Source organism: Homo sapiens, chromosome 4 (assembly GCF_000001405.40).
Source record: "Homo sapiens chromosome 4, GRCh38.p14 Primary Assembly".
Classification (NCBI taxonomy): Eukaryota; Metazoa; Chordata; class Mammalia; order Primates; family Hominidae; genus Homo; species Homo sapiens.
Window position 1 is genome coordinate 170,083,081 of NC_000004.12, and position 14,002 is coordinate 170,097,082.

General features: G+C 42.5%; 1 protein-coding gene across 8 annotated transcripts in view, besides 2 other annotated features; it reads right to left on the minus strand.

The window, feature by feature from the left end:
* AADAT (aminoadipate aminotransferase) overlaps positions 1 to 11,212 on the minus strand; it is a 34,071-nt gene extending 22,859 nt beyond the window's left edge. The window contains exons 1-5 of one of the 8 annotated variants that reach the window (XM_006714231.3): positions 8,514 to 8,615; positions 7,338 to 7,451; positions 6,544 to 6,656; positions 5,316 to 5,484; positions 4,036 to 4,168 (exon numbers count right to left, since the gene is read on the minus strand). In XM_006714231.3, the coding sequence (XP_006714294.1) occupies positions 4,036 to 4,168; positions 5,316 to 5,484; positions 6,544 to 6,656; positions 7,338 to 7,408 (486 nt within the window). In that variant the 5' untranslated portion in view covers positions 7,409 to 7,451; positions 8,514 to 8,615. Of the gene's footprint in view, positions 1 to 1,644; positions 1,914 to 4,035; positions 4,169 to 5,315; positions 5,485 to 6,531; positions 6,877 to 7,063; positions 7,308 to 7,337; positions 7,452 to 8,513; positions 8,616 to 11,196 lie in introns of those variants that run through there. The other 7 variants (XM_047415763.1, NM_001286683.1, XM_024454077.2 and 4 more) reach the window with 7 other exon arrangements.
* Positions 6,098 to 6,392: a silencer, noted in NCBI's record as "tiled region #13980; K562 Repressive non-DNase unmatched - State 24:Quies". NCBI's record gives its function as "represses a minimal TATA promoter and a strong SV40 promoter by Sharpr-MPRA in K562 cells {active_cell/tissue: K562}" and the evidence as "EXISTENCE:reporter gene assay evidence [ECO:0000049][PMID:27701403]".
* Positions 8,292 to 8,986: an enhancer, noted in NCBI's record as "H3K27ac-H3K4me1 hESC enhancer chr4:171012523-171013217 (GRCh37/hg19 assembly coordinates)". NCBI's record gives its function as "activates a minimal SCP1, AML or CMV promoter by ChIP-STARR-seq in naive H9 embryonic stem cells {active_cell/tissue: H9 hESC(naive)}" and the evidence as "EXISTENCE:reporter gene assay evidence [ECO:0000049][PMID:30033119]".
* Positions 11,213 to 14,002: the final 2,790 nt, after the last annotated feature.

Below are 14,002 nucleotides of genomic sequence, written 5' to 3' on the forward strand. Positions count from 1 at the left end.
CAGCATATACTTTCTTTTCATCAGCACAATGAAGAGTCTGCAGAACAGACCATACCTTAGGCTATAAAACAAGTCTGAACAAATAAAAAAACCCAAATCTTATCAAATATCTTTCCTGACCACAATAATAAAACTAGAAATCAATAACAAGAGGAACTTTATAAAATATGCAAACACACGAAAATTAAACAACGTGCTCCTGAATGGGTCAATGAAAAATTCAGAAGGAAATTAAAAGTTTTACTGAGATAAATGAAAATGGAAACGCAATATACTAAAATTTGTGGAAGACAGCAAAAACAGTACTAAGAGGAAAGTTTATAGCAATAAACGCCTGTTTCAAGAAAGTAGAAAGACTTCAAATTAACAACCTAATAATGCACTTCAAGGAACTAGAACAACCTACAGGAGAGGAGAAAATATTTGCGAACTACCCATCTGACAAGGGATTAACAAGTCAATAGCAAAACCCCCAAATAATCCCATTAAAAATTGGGCAAAAGATCTTAACAGACATTTCTAAAAGAAGACATAAAAACGGCCAAAAGGCATTAAAAAAGTTCAATATTACCAATGCAATCAGAAAAACCTCAAAACCACAATGAGATATTACCTAACCATATTCAAAATGGCTAGTTTCAAAACGACAAGTGATAACAGATGCTGATGAGGGTAGAGAAAGGGGAACCTTTATACACTTTAATGGAAATGTAAATTGGTACAGCCACTATGGAGAACAGTACAGAGGTTCCTCAAAAAACTGAAAATAGAACTACCATATAATCCTGCAATTCCACTGCTGAGTATATATCCAAAACAAAAACATCAATATATCAAAGAAGTATCTGCACCTCCATGTTTATTATGGCACTTATTCACAATAGCCAAAATATGGAACCAACCTAAGTGTCCATCAGCTGATGAATGGATAAGGAAAATGTGGTATACACACAATGGAATATTATTCAACCATAAAAAAGGAATAAAATCCTGTCATTTGCAGCAACATGGATAGAAATGGAGGTCATTATGTTAAGTGAAATAAGCCAAGTATAGAAACACAAATATTGCATGTTCTCCCTCATCTGTGGGAGCTAAAAAAGTGGATCTCATAAGGATAGAGAGTAGATTGGTGGTTACCAGAGGCTGGAAAGGACAGGAGGGAGATAGGGTGAAGGAAAAATAAAGAATATAAATGTACTTATTACCACTGAACTGTATACTTAAAAATGGCAAGGATAGCAAATCTTATATGTGTATTTTATGGCAACAGAAAAAATTAAAAATTAATTTTTTAAAATAAAATGGATGGGGAGATCAACGGAGTTAAAGAATATTTCTAGGTCAAGTAATAAAAGGTTTGACAATCTTTGTAAATTATGTGGATAATATGATTTCTACTACAATCACTAGAGCCAGGCAATAGATTTTTCCAGCCTAAATCAAAGGGGTCTATTATGACTAAATCATACATAAGTCACAGAATAATTGCTTCTTAACTTGTGATGTTTCACAATCCCCAGTTTGAGTCCTTTTTCCTATCACTTTAACAACCCACATCTCACCACAAACAGTAGGGCCATTATCAATTGAGATAGAAGATTTGACTTTTGTTCCCCAACTGACCTGTGATGTTGAATTTACCTTTTCCTTATGAGCTTTTGGCATCTTATGACAAACAGTATCCTCCTCCGAAAAGTTTCTAATTGACTTAAGCTTTACAAGACATCCTAGGACCAAAGGAATCACTTGGGTGGCAGCACGTACATATCAACAGATCAAATGAAAACCTAATTAGCGTTGATCCTTGAACAACATAGATTTGAACTGCACAGGTTCACTTACACGCACAGTTTCTTCTGCCTCTGCCTCCCGTGAGACAGCAAGACCAACCCCTCCTCTTCCTCCTTCTCCTCAGCCTAAGCAACATGAAGATGAGGATGAAGACCTATATGATGATCCACTTCCACTTAATGGTAAATATATTTTCTCTTGCTCATGACTTTCTAATACCATTTTATTTTCTCTAGTTTACTTTATTGTAAAAATATAGTGTACAATACATATAAAATATAAAATATGTGTTAATTGACTATATTATCAGTAAGGCTTCTGGTCAAGAGTAGCCTATTGGTAGTTATGTTTTGGAGGAGTCAAAAGTTATATGCAGATTTTCAACTGCATGGAGTCATTGCCCTTAAACCCCTGCGTTGTTCAAGGGTCAACTGTAAATATATTTTTCATATCAGTTAGGGGACATACAAATTTCAAATATCCTAAATTAGAAGGGAAGGCTGTTTATCATCTGGGAGCACTGTTTAAAAGATGAGAGAGAAACACAGGAGTCTAAAATAACATGACTCCTGGAGAACAAAGTGGAAGAAATATTAAACCAGATACATATTAGTGCCCCTATAATAAGCATGTCTGTAAGTAGTAAGTTATTGACGTATTTAGCAATCTATGCTATCTTCCTTTTTTGTGTAACTGGTGTTGTGATGGATAAAGAAGAAACTGTCTTGAGCAACTTTCTGGAAGAAAAAGTCCATAGTATCCTTTCTTGAGGAAAGAATTTATTTCATTAAAAAATACTCTTATATCATTCTATACAATCACAAATGTTTCTCTTCAAGCAAAGACTCAAACACTAGCTAATTCTTTTACTTTTCCTAATTAAATACAAAAAGGGTAAGTTTTTTTAATTTTTAAAAACTTTAAAAAATGTTTTTACTACTGTAACCCATTATTCTGTAACAATAATTTAATTAAAATTCATTAAAGCAAACCAGATTACAGTTTTCATATTTCCATGAAAAAGAAAACTACTCTGGTTTAAGATAAAGATAAATGGGAGTCATAGATTAATTTAGATCTGAGAATGAATATAGAGAATCTTATTATTCATGGAAAACAAAGGAGAAAATATACCAGCACTTTGGGAGGCCAAGGTGGACAGACTGCTTGAGCCCATGAGCTCAAGACCAGCCTGTCCAACATGGCAAAGGAATATAAAAATTAGCTAGGCATATTGGTGTGCACCCGCAGTCCCAGCTACCTGGGAGGCTAAGGTGGAAGAATTGTTGGAGCCCAGGGAGGTCGAGACTGCAGGGAGCCGTGATTGCGCCACCGCACTCCAGTCTGGGTGACAGGGTGAGACCCTGTCTCAAAAAAAAAAAAAGAAAGAAAAGAAAATAACAGATCAAACTGAGGACCACAGATGTGGTCTCTTTATTGTGGCAACTAACCAGTGGTGTTTACATCTGTGGAGTTCCCGGAACCCAGAAGGGAAGAAGATGGAATAACTAATGCCAGGGGGAGAGGGAGAGAGAACCAATCCATATAAGAAGTCAGAAATACAGACATATAAATAGATCTAGAGAAATACACCCAAGAGGGGGACAAGATACAAGCAGTGGCAAGGAGAGATTCTACAGACAGATATGTAAAAGAATATAAATATGTGTATCTCAGGAATATGAAAGCATGCCCTCTAAAAAATTTAAAAATTGTATTGAAATTTCCTAACTATAGGCGGAAATCAAACGTAACTTGAATTTTTGAGCCAGATGAAATTAAGCAGTGTTCACTAAGCTTTTGGTAGGAGTTGAGTACTCCCTTAGTGGGCATCCTGCTTTAATGGTTAATAGGTCTGGGTAATTGACCACATGCTCTGTATTTAATATTTAAGAAAGATTAGGCTAGTGAATGATGTTAAGAGCAGGTAATTTTTCAAAGTCCTTGTGTTCACAATGAGGAAAACTAGGGGGAAATATTGATAGATCAACCTACAATATTTCCACCTGGCTTTTGCTTACAGTCAACACCCCCTACCCACCCTTGCCCATCCCCGGCCACAACTGCTCCCACCCCCATCCTATGACTTGTCTTTTAGTTCCCTGTTTATAATTCTAGGTGAAGACAAGAAAGACTACCAGTAATCCATAAAATATAATTCTCTGTGGTTAAGTGCGAGAGGACTATAGAAATGAATGCTTCCAATTCTACATTTTGGCTGAGTTTTCCTTTCAGTCTTACCTTACAAAGACCTTGTTGGCTGCCAGATGTGACACATAGATCCATTTGTCCTTGACTGGGTGGGTAATGGATGGTAGGAGGATTATGCAATTTTATTTGTAACTGTTTTAGCCAGGACAAAAGCTCTGGAATTCTAAAGCAAAAAATGTATATTTAAATTCATAGTAGTAAAAATCATAGTAACAGTAGTAGACAGGAAATAATAAATGACAGCTTTATCAAGCACTTTGTACACTCAATTAAAAAACCCTCAAATGCTTTTTGCCAGTATGAATATTCCTATTTAAAAGATAGGCAGTAGACTTAGAGATTAGGAAATTCCTGTAAGTCATTCAGCCAGAAATTCTCAGAAAGTCAATTACGTAATAAATGAGCTGAGATTTGAATCTACATCTTTCTTATTCCAAACCTGAAGTCTTTAGCGCATGCGTTGCATAATCGATTCTTTGTTCTCTCTAGGAAGAGTTCTATGGCTACCTAGAAGTTCAGACTCAATAAGTTGTTTGTATCATGGAATGTTTGAATAAGCCTATGTATATTTAACATATTACATAACTAACACATATATACATGAATAACATTTCAATACACTTTTCAATCACAGAACAAAGCAGGTTTTAATAAAGTATAATTTATAGATTCTCTATAAATTATCCTTTATCACTTGAAGAAGACCAGCTAAGAAAGTCAAGGTATATGTTTCAGCTTGCCTTTAAGAAATTAAAGACATTTGAACCTATGAGGGCAATGTATTTGAATGGCTGCTTGTTTAGACTATAGAAATGAATGACTATATTCAATGTATTTGCATGACTGCTTGTTTAGACTATAGAATGAAGAAACGGAAGATCCAGGATGCTTAAACTTTAAAAAGTTGAAGCTTCCTGGATCTTCCGTTTCTTCATTTCTCCTGATATGTTTGTTTCACCTGGACATCTTCTCATTTTTTTGGACTCAGCTCTAATGGTATTTCCTTCTAGAAGCCTTCTTGGTCATTTGCGATTGAGAAGCAATCACTGAGGAGTGTTAAACATTCAATATCCTTTCTGTTCTTAATTATCCTTTGAAAACCTTTCCCCAGACCTTCCTAACCATTGAATACTCATTTGGTTAGTATTCAATGACTGAGTATTTGGTCATTGAATGACCAAATGGGTCAATGGCTTTAGAATATTTATGAATGGACCTTAGAATATTTCTTTAATATTCTTTATCAATGGGCCTTAGAATATTTCTTATGAAAATAAGCCAATAAAATTATGTTAAGTATTGATACTTACCCAGCACTCGGAGAATACTGAAGTGCTCTCTTCATCATCTCTTCTCCAAATTGGATGGTCTTTCCATTTTCTACAGTGATTACGGCAGTCTTAAAAGGAAACATGTTTGGATTTGGTAAGCCACCAGCCAAGGAGATCATCGATTTTGGTCCTCTGCTCAATATGTCAGCTACAATACACATGGAAGAGAAGAAACAATTTCATTGAAGATTGTTATAAGCGGATAGTTAAGCATGCATTATAGTCAATAAAACTATAAAGTTTAACGATTTCTAGTGATAGAGTGTGCTATGGTCTAAATGTTGGTGCTCCCCCAGATTCATACTTGGAAGTTAATACTAATGTGATAGTTTTAACAGGTGGGGTCTCTAGAGGTGATTAGGTCAGGAGGGATCCACCCTCCTGAATGGGATTGGTGCACTTATAAAAGAGGGCTGAGGGAATGCCCTTGGCCCTTCTGCCACGTGAGGACATAGGTTCTCCCTTCTACCACGTGAGGATGCAGCAAGATGGCTCTGTCTATAAGGAAGGGCTCTCACCATGGTGACACAGAAGCTGCTGGCACTTTGATCTTAGACTTCCTAGCTTCCAGAACTGTGAGAAATAATTCTATTGTTCATAAATTACCCAGTTTGTGGTATTTTGTTATAGCAGCCTGAATGGACTAAGACAAAAGCTAGTCTAAAATAAACATACAGAATAACTTTTTCTAGGCACCTCACTTGTGGAGGGACTAAAGAATGAAGGTGACCAAAGAGAAGGCAGAGGGATCAGAAAGACAGCAAAGGGCCACAATAGCAGAAGCCCTCCTCCACTTAGCCCCGACCTGTCTGTGAGCTTCATGGCCCACCCCTCTCCCATTTACCTGGCCCTCTCCACTGTACACCCATCTGCACGCTGTGCATGCCCCTTCTCAGCTTCCCAGGAAGAGCCTTTCTTGATAGCACGCCCCCTCCCTTCCAAGGCCGTGCCCCACAGCAGTCTGCGCCTCTCTCTACTGTTGCTCCTACTCTGCTCCAGCAGAAATACCCGCCTTCCGTTTCAGCCCGAGTTCTTTGAGAACAAAGGCTGTGTCTATTTCATTTCTGCACGCAGAGCCTGGCTCACCGCGAGCGTGCACAGGGGTACGCATGGATGCAACCAAGCGGTGGCTTGCTAGGGAACCCTCCTTAGAGGCTGTGCGAGGAATGCCCCACCCCAAAGGAGAGATGGTCACCCCGTTTCTCACTCATGGTCCGGATGGGAGAAGGGTTTCTGGCTGCGCTCGCTGCCGTGATGAACCGTGCGTAATTCATGTCTTCTGACAGCCAAGCATCAAGCTTCTTCTTCAGTGGTTGAGGACTAGAAAAACCAAAGAGCCTCGTCAAGTCCTGCCTGCTAACTCCTCACTCTGGCAACGCCACCGCGAGATGTGTCCCCCCGCTGCGTCTGGCTTCCCGCGCGCGGTGCCCGGAGAACGCCGCCGAAACTCCCCGGCTGGACGCTGCGTTCGGTCTCCCGGTCCTAAACGGGTCTGGGGCTGTGTGGCGAGCCCGGCAAAGTCCACGCCGCACGCGCTCCTGCGGCCGCCAGGGCCCAGGCCGGTTTTGCCCCGCCGCGGGCCTCGCCGCGCCCCCTCCCGCCCCGCGCCGTGGCCTATGGCCGCCCGCGGCGCGCGCCTCCCCGTCCCGGATCATCGCCCTCAGAGCGCAGGGCGCGGGGTAGCCCAGGCGCGAGGCGCTTGCAGCCCCAGGCCAATGACTCTTGACCTCGCCGCTGGGAATCACCGCAACCCGGCGTCCGCGTTGGCCGGCCTAGGCGCCGGCCCAGAGGCTAGCCCAGGGGCTGACCGAGGGGACCGGAAGTGCCCGTGATCCTAATCCTCGGGAACCATCTGGCGGCGACTTGGGTCCACTGCAGGGGGCTCCCGAGCTGCGCCCAGCCGGGAGCGGCCCCACCCTCGTTCCCGCGCGCTCCGCTGGCCTCCTCTCAGTCACTGGGACTGTGCATTTTGCCCGCTCAGACCATGGCTATGCTAAATACCCATCTTTCGTTAGTGAAACTCTGGGCACTCTCCTGGGAAGCATCCCGGCGACCAAGACGAATTTCAACATCACTTTCTCGAAGATCTCAGCATTTTGGAGTGACGATGGAGTTCTGACAAAAATTTTTGAAAAATCACTCTGAGTCTCTTCAATTTTAGTGTCTACCCTCACATTGAATTTCTGACCTTTCGTTAAATAAGAATTATGTTGGAAGTGAATATCCGGATCTTTTTGGGTCTAGCACCTTGCCTTTTTTTTTCTTACAAAATAACCCTTCTTACTCCCCACCTCCCTCAACTTTTCTGCAATTTCTCCTTCCTGAATCACCAAAATGGAATGTACAAGGTTTAATGTGAGCACTTAATGAGGGAAGGGTTTCAGACAACCTCTCTTTGACTTTAAAAAATTCTTTAATGGTTATTAAAATGAATGAACAGATTCATTCATTCAGCACAAATTTACTGAGTACTTCCTAGATGATTATTGACTCACTGCCAAATGGCTCTCTTTTAAGTTTACCTAATAGGTTGGTCAAGGAGCCACTGCTTTTATCTAGGTCCTGGCAGCAAAAGGCTGAGATAACCCAGTAAAATCTTTGTGCTAGCAGCTAAATAACAAAAAGGAAGTATTGAGAGGTGACAGCCTGCTGGCAGCCCTCGCAGCCCTCGCTCACTCTTGGCGCCTCCTCGGCCTCAGCGCTCACTCTGACCGCGCTTGAGGGGCCCTTCAGCCCGCCGCTGCACTGTGGGAGCCCCTTCCTGGGATAGCGGAGGCCGGAGCCGGCTCCCTCAGCCTGCGGGGAGGTGTGTAGGGAGAGGCACGGGCGGGAACCAGGGCTGTGCGGGCGCTTGCGAGCCAGCTAGAGTTCCGGGTGGGCGTGGGCTTGGCGGGCCGGCACTCAGAGCGGCGGGCCGGCTCCGCCAGACCCGGGTAGTGAGGGGCTTAGCACCCGGGCCAGCAGCTGCGGAGGGTGTGCCCAGTCTCCCAGCAATGCCGGCTCACCGGCGCTACCTTCGAATTCTCGCCAGGCCTCAGCTGCCTCCCAGCGGGGTGGGACTCGGACCCGCAGCCAGCCATGCCTGAGCCTCCCCACCACCCACCCGTGGGCTCCTGCGCTGCCCGAGCCTCCCTGACGAGTGCCGCCCCCTGCTCCACAGCACCCGGTCCCATTTACCGCCCAAGGGCTGAGGAGTGCGGGCTCACAGCCCGGGACTGGCAGGCAGCTCCACCTGTGGCCCCAGTGCCGGCTCCACTGGGGGAAGCCAGCTGGGCTCCTGAGTCTAGAGGAGACTTGGAGAACCTTTATGTCTAGCTAAGGGATTGTGAACACACCAATCAGCACCCTGTGTCTAGCTCAGGGTTTGTGGATGCACCAATGGGCACTCTGTATCTAGCTAATCTGATGGGGACTTGGAGAATCTTTATGTCTAGCTAAGGGATTGTGAATACACCAATCAGCACTCTGTATCTAACTCATGGTTTGTAAATGCACCAATCAACACTCTGTATCTAGCTCAGGGTTTGTAAATACACCAATTAGCACTCTGTATCTAACTAATCTAGTGGGGACTTGGAGAACTTTTGTGTGTAGCTCAGGGATTGTAAACGCACCAATCAGCACCCTGTCAAAATGGACCAATCAGCTCTGAAAAACAGGCCAATTGGCTCTCTGTAAAATGGACCAATCAGCAGGATGTGGATGGGGCCAGATAAGAGAATAAAAGCAGGCTGCCTCAGCCACCAGCGGTAACCCGCTTGGATACTTTTGCAGCGTGTGGTGGTTTTGTTTTCTCGCAGTTTGCAATAAATCTTGCTGCTGCTGACTCTTTGGGTCCACATTGCTTTTATGAGTTGTAACACTCACCGCGAAGGTGTGCAGTTTCTCTCCTGAGGCCGTGGAGACCACGCACCCACAGGGAGGAGTAAACAAATCCAGCCGAGCTGTCTTAAGAGCTGTAACACTCACCGCCAAAGTCTGCAGCTTCACGCCAGCAGCCAGTGAGACCACGAACCCACCAGAAGGAAGAAACTCCCAACACATCCGAACCTCAGAAGGAACAAACTCTGGACACACTGACTTTAAGAACTGTTAACACACCGCGAGTGTCTGCGGCTTCGTTCTTGATGTCAGTGAGACCAAAACCCCACCAATTCCAGGCACAGTATCTAGTAAACCTGTTAGAAACCCACGAGGCAAAATGCTTCTGCGTTCAGAGACTTCAAGTAGTTGAAATCCCATTTGATGGCTTAATAGCTGGGTGTCTTTGGACAAGTTAATTAACCTTTCTCTGTATTGGTTTTCTCGCAGGCATGTTGACAGGAATAAATGAGATAATCTGTGTTAAACTAATCAGTGCAGTGGTCTGCACGTTGTAAAAACGCTATGAACATTGGCTGTTGTTAGTAACATGCATTTAAGCAAACCTTAAGGCCTCAGCCTCCAAATGTTTTTGACTAAAGCTATTTGGCAACTTTTAAGGCCTGTTCTCAGTTAATCCATGCACACAGATCCTTATGTGTTTGAGCTTGTCCATTCTAAAAGTAGTTCCTGAATTTTTATAGAAGTTAACAAGCACCGGAAACATCTAAATAAGGTGTAGATCAAGGTAAATTGTAACTTGTAACTAGATATGTTGATGTTCCTGGGGACTTAAGGCTTTTTTTTGATAGGGGAGGACTCTAACTGAGCAAGGTTTCCTTAGATACTTAGAAGAAAATTTAAACTTTGGCCAGGAGGTGTGGTTCACGCCTGTAATCCCAGCACTTTGGGAGGCCAAGGTGGGTGGATCAACTGAGGTCAGGAGTTGGAGACCAGCCTGACCATCATGGCAAAACCCCATCTCTACTAAAAAATACAAAAATTAGCGGTGTTTGGTGGCAGATGCCTGTAATCTCAGCCACTCGGGAGGCTGAGGCATGAGCATTTTTCGAACCCGGGAGGCGGAGGTTGGAGTCAGCTGAAGCCGAGATCACGCCACTGCACTCCAGTGGGGGATTGAGCTGGGGGATAGAGCGAGACTCTGTCTCAATTTAAATTTCTTCCATTTGGTAGTAGGAACCTGTTCGGTCAAAGGAATTTGGAGTGCTGGGCCAAGGAAAAGACCAAAGGTTTTTGTAAGCACGTTGATGCACCCGTCTGTGATTTGTAGTATTTATTACTCACAGGCTATTTATTTTATTTTGAGAGGCAGAGTGTCTAGAGTCTCACTTTGTTATCCAGGCTTGAATGCAGTGGCGCCAACCATAGCTCACTGCAGCCTCGTCTTCCCGGGCTCAAGCATTTCTCTCACCTCAGCTTCCTGGGTAGCTGGGACTACAGGTGAACACCACTACACCAGGATAATTTTTTAAAATACCTTGTAGAGACAGGGTCTCCCTATGTTGCCCAGTCTAGTCTTGAAGTCCTGGCTTCAAGTAGTCCTCCCACTTTGGCCTCCGGAAGTGCTGAGATTACAGGCATGAGCCAGCGCACCTGGCCTCACACAGGCATTTTTAAAAATACGTAATTAATTGATTTTTTTACCCCCTTTCCAATCAGTGGTAACACAATTTAAGGAAGCCAAACTGAAGAGCTGTGAGAGCATCAAATCCTAAGGTGCAGGTTTTCAACCCTTAAACAGTTTGCTGAATTTTCTATTTGGCCTGTCCTGGAGTTGTACTGGTGAGACGGTTGGGGGTGCTGATTGATTGCAAGCTGGCTGATGATTCAGGCCAGATGGAGAGGCAGAGAAATGGCCCATCAGGGCAGGCTAATGGAATGCAGGGGCACTGGGGGGTCATGATCAGCAAATGCAAGGCAGAATATAGTCACAGTGGTGGGGAAGGGACAAGCAAGGGTTAAGTTGGGAAGAGCTTACCAGACAATAGAAGCTGAAGACTGAAGGTAAATTTGATTGCCAGAGAAACTAGACTTTGGATTTGTCAGGCACCAACAGCAGAAGGCTTCTCCTGAGGGACTAAGATAAATGAGCAAGGTTCATAGCTCAGTGTTGCCTTTTTAGAAGCTTGGCTTAGGACTGCCCAAGGACGGAATTAAAGACACCAGATTCTTTCTCCAAACATTTACTGAATTCTTACTCTGTTCTAGGAACTGTAATTGATTTAAAAAGATAACTATGACAAGTCACTACTCTTGAAAAGGAACTGTTTGTACATTAAGACATCAACAATTTCAGATAATACAATGTTTGTGGCAGAGGCAGGTACAAGCTGCTAAGGAAAGCAGAGAGAAGGAAGTCTTTTTCTTCTTCTCCTCTCCCCTCCCCTCCCCTCTCCTTTTCTTTTCTTGAGTATCCCTTATCTGAAATGCTTGGGAACAGAAGTATTTGGGGGTTTTGGATTTCTTTACATTTTGGAATATTTGCATATACATAATAAGATACCTTGGGGATGGAACCCAATCCTAAACATGAAATTCTCATTTACATTTCATATACGCCTTATGCACATAGCCTGAAAGTAATTTAATACAATATTTAAAATAATTTTGTGCATGAAACAAAGTTCATGTACATTGAACCACCCATGTAGGCCCTCTGTGGTTGTTTGGCATCATCATCATTCCTGACTCTGAGTTTATATGCTACTGATAGGCAATCATTTTCTTATAATTATTCACACATAGTAATTAACAGTAAAATATTTTGTTAATCATTAGTACAGTGAAGAAATAATGTGTTTAGGTCAACTGAGCAGCACAGCAGCATCAGCACATTACCTGTATCAGCTGTTAAACAGCAGTAACAGCAAACAATGGCAGGAGTTCAGTCTCTAGATATGATGCTGTGTTTTGATTAAGGTTATGTAGACCATATTTTATATTTTAGATGAGAAGAAATGTCAGAAGCAGTTGAAGGACCAGAAAGTGGGTCCCGTAGGGATGAGGAGTCAATCTGCTGGATGGATTTTAAAAATCTGTCCTCCAGAGTCATCTGCCTCACCTCATTAACAATGGTTTTTGTCTGAGAAGGCACTCTTTGATTTCATAAGCTGACATGGTTTCTTGTTCTCTTATACATGCATGCTGCTCTAGTGCTTAAAAAAGCCCATCACAGATTTTCACCATGTCAGCTATAGACACTTTTCCTGCTGAGTTAACATTATCTTTATCATCCACTTGTGGCATCATTTTGGTGCTCAAAAAGTTTCAGATTTTGGAGCATTTTGGATTTCAAATTTTTGGATTAGAGATGTGCAACTTGTACAAATAAGATCACATTCACACGTTGTGTGTGTGCACGATTTTTGGGAGACTATTCAGACCACTATAGTCAATGACTAAAGGAGCCTAATATGTAATAGTCTGAGAGATTAGAGGACAACCAGAAGTTTACAGTGAGAAAGACAGCAAAGGAAGGGAATGTTTTGAGAAAGACCGAAGGGCTCCTAAGAGGATAAACTTATATCTTTTATCTTGCAACTCCGGGGTCATAGATTCAATTACCGCTAACTAATACGAGTAACACTCAATTGCTTTAAGACTGTTTTGGGTTCTTATGCTAGCCCATGTCTCATCAAGGAATAAGCATGAGATTGTGTCTTAGTGTCTTAGTTCATTTAGTGTTGCTAAGCAGAACACCCGAGGATGGGTACTTTATAAAGAAAATAGGTTGATTTGACTCATGATTCTGAAGGCTGGAAAATATAAGAGCATGATACTTGCATCTGATCAGCTTCTGGGGAGGGCCATGTGCTGTGTCAAGACATGGCAGAGAAGTGGAACACTGAGGGGACATATGCAAAGAGACAAACACTAAAGGCTGGGCTTACTTCATAATGCCTGTTCTTGCAGTAACTTATCCAGTCCTGTGAGAGTGAAAACTTACTCTCATAAGATGGCATGAATCAATTCATGAGGGTTCTGCCTCCATGGTCCAAAGACCTCCTATTAGGCTCCACCTCCCAATGCTGCTGCACTGGTAATTAAACTTCATGAGTTTTTGTGGTGACAAAATCCAAACCACATCACATAGTAACTTGAAAAAATTGCTATTCATAAATGGCATCTACCTCAGAAATAATTCTTTGAGTTAGGTGGACAGCCTTGCCTTATGGCCAATATATCCCTATTGAGGTTATGTATATTGGAGATCTCAGTCATTAATTTGGGTGCACTTTGGAGTGCAGAAGAGAAACACAAAAATAACCACTGGATTCTGATAGAGACAGAAATGTACTGAGGTCCGTAGTGTAACCATCATAATAGAACGGTCAGTCAAAGCTTGAGGGATGGCAGATATTACTTGTCATGAAATGGGTAGGCAACTCTAGAACTTCATAATTAAATAGAAATAGTATCATCTTAGAGAACTGTTCAGAATCAACACCCTTGTGTGTTGAGTCTATGGGTATGGTCTTTGGAAAGAGACACAATATATCTTTAGACTGAAGACCATAGGATGACTCTGTGGAATGCTGTCCTTGTCATTCAGGATGCTGGCTGCTCAGCTGTTAAATAGCTAATGTTCATTTGGTATAATGCCATTTTTCTGTTACATGCATCGTATGTAGGATACTTGTTTATATTATATGTATTTTAAATCTTGTCAGTCTATTCCTCATTTCTTTTAACATCTTTCATATTTTATGACTCTCACTGTGCTGTGTCCTTGTGGATTTTGTAGTTATATTTTTCAAGTATTCATTTTTAAATTCAATTATTTG